General features: G+C 44.3%; 1 protein-coding gene across 8 annotated transcripts in view, besides 1 other annotated feature; it reads right to left on the reverse strand.

Moving 5' to 3' along the window:
• The window catches only part of RPS6KA2 (ribosomal protein S6 kinase A2), a 453,410-nt gene that overhangs the window by 179,493 nt on the left and 261,553 nt on the right, over window positions 1-12,364 (reverse strand). The window lies entirely within an intron of this gene.
• Window positions 343-602: an enhancer, noted in NCBI's record as "active region_25438". NCBI's record gives its function as "activates an Ori minimal core promoter by ATAC-STARR-seq in GM12878 lymphoblastoid cells {active_cell/tissue: GM12878}" and the evidence as "EXISTENCE:reporter gene assay evidence [ECO:0000049][PMID:35858748]".

Raw genomic sequence — 12,364 nt, forward strand, 5'->3', positions numbered from 1 at the left:
GAGGCCATGCATAGGTGGCCAGGTGCGACTACCTGTGTTCCAGCAAGTAGATGGAAAAGGAACACTGTCGCTTTCTCAGGGCTGACTTCCAAATTGGGGGGAGGAGGAGTGGGTGGTTAAGGGCATCTAGGAGGTGGGTGGCAAGGGAGTGCCCCCGCAGAAAAGGAGGAAGAAGCTCTAAGCCCTTGATGAGTCAGAGCTGAAATTAGTAACATTGGGGTTGCCACTACTCTTTCAAAATTTAAGTCTTTTATAAAAGAGCCCCAGGCTTTCTGGAAACAGGTGGTCAGATTGAAATAAAAATGATGGCTATGGGGCCAGTCTCCTCCTACCACCAGCAAAAGCCAAAAGTGAATTTATGTTTCACAGCCAGTGTGGAGAAAGCGTCTGCTCAACAGCTCAACAGGAAACCACGGTGCATTCCAGGGCCCCTCCTGGGGTTCCTTTGCTCATTTTCACATAAAGAAAGAAAAAGGATGGGAAGTATTAATCTGCAGCACTAAGTATGCACTTTTGTGAGCACTTGTTCTAAATTATTGCCATTACATATCCACACTGGAATTGAAAAATAACCCAGCTCAATTCATCGGCCAAAGACACCCAGCCTCCATGGTCAGAGTATCTTCTATGCCCGACAGGAGGGACTGTACCCTTAGAATTGAAATCAGTTGAAATCAGTCATGCTTCATGGAAGGCTGCATAAACAATGTCATTCTACCCTTAGGTATTTTACCCTCATTAAGTCGCAGAAAATAAGAGCCTAAAGGGAAACTGGGAAATTGAACTTTCAGCTTTTACTATCAGCTCCAATAGAGACTGTTGGTAGAAATGGGCGCACATCACCTGTGTCTCCAGCATCTCTGCATGAAAAACAGAGCGTGGTCTATCAGTCTTACAGAAGACTCTCACCCAGTGCTTTGGCCCAAACAAATCAGATTTGTTGGAAACATTTTCAAAATTTCTAACTCCTAGATTTGATATACAACATAAACTAAACTGTGGCATGAACAGAATGGAGAGAGACTTGGGATCTTACCGGGAGACAAGATCATACCCACCAACCCAACAAATGAGGCCACAGGCATGCAAGTGAGATACACAGAAAACAAGAACAGGAAGGGCCAGAGGAAGAAGGGCCCCTGGGCAGCTTGATTGGGGTGCTCAGAGGAGGAGGCAAGGGAACTGGGGGGAATACAGACGGTGCTGTGGAGAGGGCATTCAAGGTGAAATAAAACAGCTCAAGCAAAGACACAGGGGCTGGAATTGGCAAGCATCATCGGGATGATAAAGACTAAATCTATTTGATTAGAGCAGCCTTCTGGTTTTGCTTCTTTTGTTGTTTTGCTTATACTTTTTGCTTAAAACTTGGACATAGTGGGAAATAGAATCAGAACAGTAAATTACTAGTTCCTACATCAGTAGGCTTTGAGGAGCAAGAACCTACTAAACGCTGATAAGAATCAGTCATTAGGGTCTGGCAGATACAGCATCCACGTAAGATTAAGTTCACAGATTCCCAGTGTGAACTCCGTGTCAGACTCTGCTTTAGGAGGAGACAGATCCTATTTCAGGGCTGGGCACACCTAAAGATGGAGCCTGGCGAGGAGCATGACTTAGGGTGAGAACCATGCCATCAGCCTGCCCCAGAAGAATCCAGACATGCAGCAGCACAATTGAAATCCTCATTGAGGACTTCAGGTCGTTGCACTGTACTATACAGGGGATTCGTGTGGAATGAGTTGATTGCTGCTGCTCTTGCCCCACAACACACACACGCACGTGCATAACTGAAAGCACGTCTATGTTAATGGGCTTTCCTGCAGTAACCTTCTTACTATCTCTACTCATTTCCCGTTGCATCATGTATACCTTAAACATACACAATAAAACTCATTTTAAAAAATTAAAAAAAAAACCTCATTGAGGCAGTGAGTATAATCAACACTAACGGATAAGTGATGGCCCCAGGCAAAGAGCATAAATAAGGGAACGGAAGAGATCATCAAAGACACGACTTAGAGTAAGGCCTTGCTGGATTTAAAAACAGATTAAAACCAACCCACACAAACCTTTGCAAGTAAAATGGATCTGCCTGCCATGTCACAGTCAATGAAGAGTCAAATCTGAGCATTATTTAATTACAAGCATCACAAAAGCAGAAAAACAGGTTGTCTCGGTCTGACTTTAGAATTCTCTTCTACATATTAAATGCCAGAAGATGCCAGAGAGCAATGTTCACTGAGCATCAGGTACAAAAAGGTTGCAGCCCAGGCATTTCACAGTCGCCCAGGCACTCTTCATAGATGCAGGTGATGGAAAAGGCCAGCGTGCAAGGACTCAGCAAACACACCCTCCACGGGAGGCCCTGGGGGCACCTCGGAAAGATGTTACCATCATTCAACGCGACCAACAGTGCCACACTGGAGTGCCTTCTGGGATGAGCAGAATGCCTTTAGACCAGTCACAGTGTGGCTGCTTCCGTCCAAATGGCGCTCGGCATGGGCATGGTTTGATGTGTGCCCCCCACCCCTGAAAAAAGACGTGTTGCATGTCTTGACTTGGAAACATGTGACTTGACTTGGAAACAGGATCACTGCAAATGTGATTAGTTAAAACGAGATCACAGAGGAGGCGAGTGGCCCTAATCCAAGATGACTGGATGACCACCTAATCCAAGATGACTTCTAAAAAGGCCACTGGAAAGCAGACACACACCAAGAAGGCGGCCCTGAGATGATGGAGGCAGCCAAGGAGTGCCTGGGGCCACCAGAAACCAGAAGGGGCAAGGAAGGATCCTCCCAGGGCGTTGGAGAGAGCTTGGTCTTGCCCAGGTATAGTCTCGGAAATCCACCCTCCAGGACTGTGAGAGCATAAACTCCTGTCGGTTAATCCCACCTGTTCGAGGTAGTTTCTTACAGTAGCCCCAGAAAACTAACCCAGCATTTAGTTTTTACTAAAATCTCATCAGTGTACCCACCATGGCCACCTTCAAGCCTGTGTGTATTACACACTGAGTTCCACAAGACAGAAGGCTGTGGACAACAGCCCCCAAACCCAAGCCGGCCCACACTGATGGCACTGGCTGGGCCCACTGTACCTGCAGAAGACAGAAGCATCTGCAATACAGAAATCACTCAGAGCTTAGACAATGAGAAAATGATGGACGTTCTGTTTAAAAAATAATCACCAGCCAGGGCGCAGCAGTGAACCAGAAAGTTCTCAGAAGTCCTGAAAAGTGGGCAAGAGATGGGCCTGGCTTGTAGAGAAAGTGACTTCACCAAATACCAGCAGAAAGAGAAAGACTTCTCGAGGGAACTAGAGAGTCACATATTATAAATAGTAGCGAGGGTCATGGAGAAATCAACAGGATAATGAATTCTCTGCTCTATGTGGAGTCCTGGCCTGCTGAGAGCTTCTGATGGGTGCACCTCAGATTAAAACCAGGGAACTCACCTGCGGGGAAGAGGGCCCCGGTGTGGTGCTGTGAGGGGCTGACAAGCCCGGCCTGTCCTCTGGATTTACAGGGGACTACTTATTCACCCAATCTATGGGCTAGGCAGAATCTGTGAATCTCACTTTACATAAGGGAACTAGGAGGTGAGAACTTACTAGTTATTCTTATAACTAATAAGTGAGGAGCTGGAATGTGAACCCAGAAGCCCAGAGTCAGTGTTGGTGACCATTCTGCTGTAATGCCTGATACGTGAGGGGAAGAAATCAGAATGTGAATCAGCGCCTGTCCTTATATCAGGCCCGGATTGATGAGAGGGACAGAAGCACAGAAAGGGACGGGGGAGGGCAGGCAGGGCAGCCACCGCACAGAACTGTACTACAGCGCTTCACTTCCAGGAGAGCACTCCTACCTGCCCACCTGCGGTCTGCCCTTACATTCTACAGGGCAACGGCTCTTGGCTATGTCTACTGTGACTCAAAGAACAGGCCTTCGGGGAAACAGATCATGCCAGCGATCTATCCTAATTATATTCCTAATTATATTCCTTATGAATCAATAACAAAAGGATCATTAGACATCGGAGACCAAAAACATCAGCACAAAAGGTTGAAGGAAAGTATGTTTGAAACTCGAATTCAACATCAAGCTGAGACAGTTCTCACAGGAACAGGACAAACAGACGTGTTAGTCACTCAAGACCTCAGAGCTCACCACTGATGCAACCTCGACAGACACCAGTGAGCAAAAGAGCAGTTCAGGAGAAAGGCGCAGGACACAGCAGAAAGAAGCTTTCCGATGCAGTGTGAGCACCAAAGAAGGCGGCATGAAGTCAAAGGAGAATTCAGGGGCCCTTAAATCCCAATCAAATCCCCAACATATACTTTTGGATTCTAAGCGTTTGGAAGAAAAATTCTTTATAGGTAATACCAGAGCTAAAAGAGAAACAGAACAGAATACAACAGAACAAAATAGAATAGAATGAAATAGAAGAGAATGGAATGGAATGGAATAGAATAAAACAGAAAAGAAGACTATATAAAAACAGAACATTTGACAAAAGTAGTATTTCAGATTGTGGGTAAATAGCTAGTTCTAAAACCATATGCTGGCTCACACTACAGTCAACTGGAATTATTGTGATCAAGTGTTAACAGAGTAAAATTATAATATAGCCAGCACAGTACAGGCAACCAGGTCCACAAATCTCAGAATGGTATCGATTTTTCTTATGCAGGTACAACAGCAAAGAGATAATTTATAAAGGAAATAATTTATAGATTTGGTTACATTAAAATTGACGTGCGTCAAAACATTCCATTAAAAAATGTAAACACAAACTGGTTTTCGGAAAAAAAAAACTTGCAAAAGGCAAGAGCTCTTAATATATAAAGAGCTCTTACGAATCAGTAAGGAAGACAAATAGTTCAATTAAAATGGCAAAAGATCTAAACAGGTGATTAACACAATCAATAAACATATGAACAAACTTCAAACTCACTAATACTTAAAATGTATATTTTTAATGTGTCAAACTTCTATAAATGATAAAATGATATCAAAAATTCTGAGAATATAGGAGAGTAAAAATCTCAGATAACTCAGGTAACACTATCACAAATGTAAATGCACAGAACTATTCTGTTCATGCCATTGACCTAACAATTCCATTCCCGACAATTTACCCTAAGAGAATAAAAGTGCACGGACAATTCTGTGTTCAAGACCGTTCATCATAGGGGTTTTAGTAATATAAAAATCGAAATGAATTTAATATTAAAATATATGATTAACTAAATACAGCTTACTTTATTTGATGTGTGACCATTATACTTGTATGTGTGGAATATTTAATGGTGGCGGTAAAATTCTGAAAATGTCTTGGTAAGTGATATGAAACAGTTTCTAGAAGGTGATTCAAATTTTTAAAGAACTGCACATATGTATACATGAAGAAAGAATCAGAGGAAATCAAAAATTTAACAAGGGTCATTCTAAAGTAGAAAATGTTAAATAATTTGAGTTTTTAAAAATTTATTTCCCTCATAATTTTCACAATAAAATGTGTTATTTTAGTAAGCAGATCAAATATCTTATTAAAAAAATTGTCACGTGAAAAAACAAAACAAAAAACTTGTCTGTCCAAACACATTTTCTTTTTTTTTTCTTTTTTGAGACGGAGTCTCGCTCTGTCGCCCAGGCTGGAGTGCAGTGGCGCAATCTCGGCTCACTGCAAGCTCTGCCTCCCGGGTTCACGCCATTCTCCTGCCTCAGCCTCCCCAGTAGCTGGGACTACAGGCGCCTGCCACGATGCCCAGCTAATTTTTTGTATTTTTAGTAGAGACGGAGCTTCACTGTGTTAGCCAGGATGGTCTCGATCTCCTGACCTCGTGATCCGCCCGCCTCGGCCTCCCAAAGTGCTGGGATTACAGGCGTGAGCCACTGCGCCCAGCCCAAACACACAGATTTTTCAAAGATCTGTCCTAAACTATCACTTTCATAGTGCTTTTCTGCTATAAGGTTCTCAGAACACCAAAGTTCTTTCCATCCAGTATTTACTGAGATGCAAAGAAACAAAAGAAGTAAAAAGATAAAAGAGGCAAAATAACATAATGGAAGGAGATCTGGAAACTGGGTCTGGGATTCTAACATTAGTCTTGAAATTAACTGGTTCTGTGACCTAAGCCAAAGTTCTTGGTCTTGGTTTTCTCACCCAAATAAACAAAGAAGTTGAAATGAATAATTTTTTTTTGTTTTTTTTTGAGACAGAGTCTCATTCTGTCATCCAGGCTGGAGTGTGATGGCAGGATCTCAGCTCACTGCAACCTCTACCTCCCAAGTTCAAGCGATTTTCATGTTTCAGCCTCCTGAGTAGCTGGGATTACAGGCACATACCACCACGTCCGGCTAATGTTTTGTATTTTAGTAGAGACTGGGTTTCGTCATGCTGGCCACGCTGGTCTCGAACTCCTGACCTCAAGTGATCTGCCTGCCTCGGCCTCCCAAAGTGTTGGGATTACAGGCATGAGCCACCGTGCCCAGCCAAAACGAATAAACTTTGAATGCAATTTTGTACCCTAAAGCTCTATGATGCTATTTCATAATTCCCAAAAAGCCAAGTTCAACGACAGCAAAGCTGCCCAGGGAAGCGGTTGTATCCTCCACCCGCACAGACTGCGGCTGTCCACTGGGACTTCAATCCCCAGATATGCTTGTGATTGGAAGCCCTTTTTCCTCTCTGAAATTTCAAAAGGTGCTGCAGTCACAGCTGGTTCTATTTTGCCACTGACAGGCAGACACATATTTTTATGCATTAGTAACCTTAGGAATCTCAGCCCCTCAGTGATGTGAGTCAAACAAACACATTTCATGTTTCTAAGGAGAGAATCCAGTCTAATGTTAAATGATCTTAAGGAAGTCATTCTGTCCTTACATGATCTACCAGTCAAGGAAGACAGGCAGAAAGATATAAAAGAATAAGGATGGGTACACATAAAACTACTTGGAGGAAAACTCCCTTCAATGTATTACCAATAAAGGAATGGGGTTCCCTCATCAGTCAGTCCTGAGCCAAGCAAATCCAAGCCTGGTCAGAGGCCAAGACCTCTGAAAGAGAATGGCTTTTAGAACTTATTGTAATAGTATCCAACCAGTTTTTTAAAGCTTAAAATAAGATACACAAGGTTTGGATATGGAAATCTTTGAAGAGTCATTGGTATCTTATCTCACAGAAAGGGAAAGGCTTTCAATGGGTTTAAAATATGTGACTTGCACTGTGATGCCAGGCAAACTGCACTCACTAGAGTTGATGTGCAGGAGGTTTGGAAGGCGGGGCGGCCTCCAGACAGGGGTCACAGGCCATGGGGAAGATAGGCGGTAAGGTCCACGTGATGATCAAGGAAGGAGGTCGGTTTGAGTTTATGGTCAATAATACTCTGTGTGATGATTAATACTGACTGTCAACTTTACTGGATTGAAGGATGCAAAGTATTGTTCCTGGGTGTGTCTGTGAGGGTGCTGCCGAAGGAGGTTAACATTCAACTCGGTGAACTGGGAGAGGCAGACCCACCCTCAATCTGGGTGGGCACCATCTCATCAGCTGCCAGTGAAGCTAGAATAAAGCAGGCAGGAGAAGATGGAAGAGCAGACTTGCTGAGTCTTCTGGTCTTCATCTTTCTCCTGTACTAGATGCCTCCTACCCTCGATCATCAGACTCCAAGTTCTTCAGTCTTTGGAATCTAAGACTTACACCAGTGGTTTGCCAGGGGCTCTCGGGCCTTCGCTCACAGACTGAAGGCTGCACTGTAGTCTTCCCTAATTTTGAGGTTTTGGGACTCAGACTGATCCACCACTGGCTTCCTTGCTCCTCAACTTGCAGATGGCCTATAGTGGGACTTTACCTTGTGATGGTGTGAGTCAATTCTCCTTAATAAACTCCCTTTCACATATACATCTATCCTATTAGTCCTGTCCCTCTACAGAACCCTGACTAATACACTCTGTGAGGAAACACTGGGCCTGAATATGGGAGACAAACAGGGTGGGGGGTTTCCACCACTGAAATCTTTACTGTGGGACCAGCAGAGCTGTCCCACCGTGGATGGACAAGCTATGTAGGGGTGAGGGGGATTTCGAGGGGACTGTGGTGATTCACCACAGATGCGCCAGTTGGGAGCTGCAGAGAGAGGCCTGGGTGATGGGCACATGTGATGTCAGGCACAGTCATGGGAACAGATGGAGAAAGGACACGGGGAGGGGCCACAGATGCTGAGAACCAGCCCATGGTGTTCACCCACGAAAACGAGACCAAGTGAGATGGAGAGAAAGGAAAAGAAACAAGATAGTGCACGCCATGGGAGGCAAGAGAGGGGCACAGGTGGCTGGGGACATAGGCTACGGGATAAGTCGAAAGAATGGAGTCTCTAGAGGGCAGAGCTGGTGGCGAGGCACCCCGTGAGGCCCCAAAGGACACAGCCCCCGAGGACGAATGGGACTCAACAGGTGGAGACAGCTCATCTCTGAGGAGGTGGCAGTCACTGAAGGGAGAAAAAAAGGACAAGAGACAAATGTGAAGCCAACACCTGGCAGCCAGGCCATGGGGGCCATTTGAGCATCTCTACAGGACACAGAGCTGGGGAAAAGGACGGCAGTGGAGCGGGTGCTGGGCTGCAGGGTGGAGGAGGAACTGGCTTCAGAAGGAGGAAGAGCATCTCTTCTTCTGGGAAAAAAGGTAGGAGGATTGGAATAAAGATAGAGGAGACATTTAACACATAAAGAAAACGTAAGCCATTTTGGAAACAATCGTTCTGGAATGCAATGATCATGGAGCTGATAACATGCAAGATTGCAGCTCTAATAGACACTGTAGGCAAGCCAAAATTTTCATGAATTTTTCATGGATTTAACTAGTAGCCTCAAAATGACCATTTCATATTATTAAACATCAAGAGACAAGAAATATCCAATGGGTGACGGCATCATCGAGAAGAGAATAGAAACAGATTTCCGGAGTCCACGGGCTGGTGAGATGCTCTAGAGAGCAGGACTCTGCTCTCTGGTGTGCCAGCCCCAGCCGGGCACCGTGCTATTGTTGGTTTTCATCACCCAGTTCCTGTCAGAACCACTGCAGTCATGCCACAGACAGAGCTTTTGTGCAAATGGTATTTTCTTCCCTATTAAAATGTTCTACTCTGTTCCCATCTAAATGGGTCCAGGAGCAGTCCCAGAGACACCTGCAAATTGCACAGAGGCATGGTTTGATTTCACATGCTCCTGATGACCATAATTGTTGCTATTATTTTCCTTACTATTTCACCTCTCAGGCAGAAAGTAAACAAAACACTTCTCAGGAGAGAGCGGGGAGAAAGGAAGAGAAGACATTGTGGGGCCAAATTGGAGCACAGGACGGCATTTGTTGAACCGTTCTGATTTCCTTTGATGCTTTCCCTCCCTGCTGTTCAGGATAATGCCTTGTTCTCCTCCCTAACTTGGTGTGGAAGGAATCCCTCCAAAAGGCAATGGGGGCAGACAGACCACGCTTTTATTTTCTTATAGGCATTTATGTTCTTACAGGAATGGTTTAGAGAGGCTTATGGATGAATTAAATGGTTTGCAAAATTAAGACTGGATTCTCTACCAAGTAGATAGGCAGGGACAATAAAGGAATAAAAAGCCACATTTGGAGCTAATGGCATTGCAAAACCAATTCTGGATGGAGAAGTTGGAATCAGATGACCCTCTGAACTTGAAGACATTTGGTGAAACAGCCTGGAGTCTGCCCATCATGCACTGAGTCACGGGTGGTTGGTGTGGGTAGACGCTCTAAACATTTTGGCTCTAAGCGCCTCTGTTTATACAACATTCTTTCCCGTTGCGTCAGGAATAGGAAGCCTGTTTTCTCTGAGATAATGGAGTCAGGAAGAGAAATCATGTCCCAACTCTGGTAGATTTTGTGGCAGTCCAGGAAACAACAAGGCTTTTCTTTGTATAAGCACACAGCACCGCTCTTTCCTACCTCCCTTCTTTCCTGCCTCCATCCTTGTATTCCACAGCTGATCAGGACTCAGCTCATCCCCATCAGACACGGCTCACTCTCAAGTGGTCCTCCAGGTGGGGTTGAAACAGTGGGGTGTCCGATGCCCAGGCAGGGCCCAGCCCGGCCTGTCTCAGGGGTTACTGCTGCTTGTCCAGGTCTGTAACTATTGTCCCAGGTTCGGTGATCAAAATCTCTCCAGATAAATTTCATCCTAAGAAATAATTAAAGAATCCAGAGCAGGAGTCACCTGGTGCGTGCCATATGTAAACAACCACTCTTGAGGATGTTTGAAGAAGCACTGGATTGGTATCAAGGACTGAAAGCAGGTAGAGGTTTTTAGAAAGGTAAATTCTGCTAACTACAGACAGGGAGATTGGAAATTAGCTTGACAACGTCTTAGGGAGGAAGCAGTGATCAACAATAATCAGGAGAGTCATATGAAATATGTGCTGATTTCCTTCTCTCCTCTGATGAGGTTACCAGATGGGTAGGTGTGGGGAAAATGGTAAACAGTGTCTCTGGTTTTCAGGAAGAATTTAACAAGGTTTTCTCATTATATACACCGAATAAAATGAAGAAATGATGACTGGCAGATTAATAGCTGCCTCAACCAAAGGGAAGTAATTAAGCAATCCATGTCAACCAAGAAGGCAGTTCTGAGGGCACCCTCCTGGCTAGCTCCATTCAGCCTTCTCATTAGCGCCAGGGGAAGCACGAAGCTTCATGACACGGGGAAGACAGCAGGTCACTTGCAGGATGATGGGATATGTATCTCTAAAAATACCAACCAACAGACGCATGAATTTAAGAACAAAATAAGAGACATAAATGCAACATCTTACTCTTATTAAACAAAAAACAAATAAGCTGTAGGGGGAGGGGCCAGATTAGCAGGAGTGTTAGCCCAATATGCGCTCAGTAATGTGAGGATCGTGTTAAGTGCTGGGAGAAACGACACAGGCTTCTGTGTGCATCTTCCCAAGGCAGGTCTCCTTCCCACTCCATCTCCATCCTCCATGCGTCACTCTCAAGGCCTAGAGCAGAAGCCACCATCTCCCTGAGCCCTGCCTGATCACCTCCCTAGAGTAGCTCCTTCCGTCATGATCCAAGGGACACCCAGCCTCCCCTCCTCCGTATATGGGTGAGGGTGGTAAGTTTGTTTGTTTGTTTGTTTGTTTGTTTTGAGACAGAGTCTTGCTCCATAGCTGAGGCTGGAGTGCAGTGGTGCCATCATAGCTCACTGCAGCCTCGAACTCTTGGGCCCAAACAATCCTCCTGCCTCAGCTTCCCAAATAGGTGCACCTACTATAGGTGCACCACCACGCCTGGCTAATTTATTTTTGTTTTTAGTACAGACAAGGTCTCACTATGTTTCCCAGACCAGTCTCAGGAGCTCACGTGATCTTCTGGCCTCAGCCTCCCAACATGCTGGGATGACAGGCACGAGCCATCATGCCTGGCCAAGGTTACTGTTTGGCATCTGGCTTCCCAAGTGGACCATGGGCTCCAAGGGCAGAGACGATGTCTGTCTTATTCTCAGATGTTTAGCCAGGCAATGCCTGGCACCTTGTAGAAACTCAATCAAGGCTTGCTCAGTGAAGATAAATGAATGAGTCACCACCATCAGATGTGATTTTCTTCCGATCTAAATTCACCTGGTTTCCCTGTTTGACACACTGTCTTGGGAATTTGGAAATATCCCTTATTCCTGATGGGTTTTGAGATCCTTTAGTGCAGGAAGTCCACCTGATTATCTTTGAATAAGAACCTACGAGAGTCTAAAAACTGGTTGCATAAACAAATGGGAGAAGAAAACACTAATTCTTTTAACATACAAGTTGTTGCACTTGCCCTATTTTCAGGACTAAATAATATAGCTGCATGTAGCGTATTTGAAGTAAAATGAAATTTCAGATGTGTAGAAATCAGTGAAAGAAGCTCATTGCACAAAGTGAATAGAAATGGAAAATGGAATATGCATGCATTTTGAAATTGGTCTTATCAAAATCAGTAGGAAATTAAATTTTAAACTCAGTCATTCTTATTATATTATCCCTATTGAAATTCATCTTGCTTTTGCCTGTAGGCAGGGAGCAATTTATTAAAATACTCTGCATATCCAATATTTCTTAAACAAACAAACAAAATCTCTTATACTCAGCTCAAAAAGATGGTGACAGATGAAGGAAGAATTAGAAGTGTTAAAAAAAGAAGAAAAAGAAAAAACAACTAACCACGTGGCCTATCTTAGAACCTGACTGATGATTCCATTCAGATAATATTTCTTGGGCACCCACAGGCCACAAGCCACATGACATTAGATAGAGAAAATGATAGAAATCAAGCCATATTTCTCTACTTGCAAGCAAGTTATATAC

The sequence above is a fragment of the Homo sapiens genome, chromosome 6, assembly GCF_000001405.40.
Source record: "Homo sapiens chromosome 6, GRCh38.p14 Primary Assembly".
Classification (NCBI taxonomy): domain Eukaryota; kingdom Metazoa; phylum Chordata; class Mammalia; order Primates; family Hominidae; genus Homo; species Homo sapiens.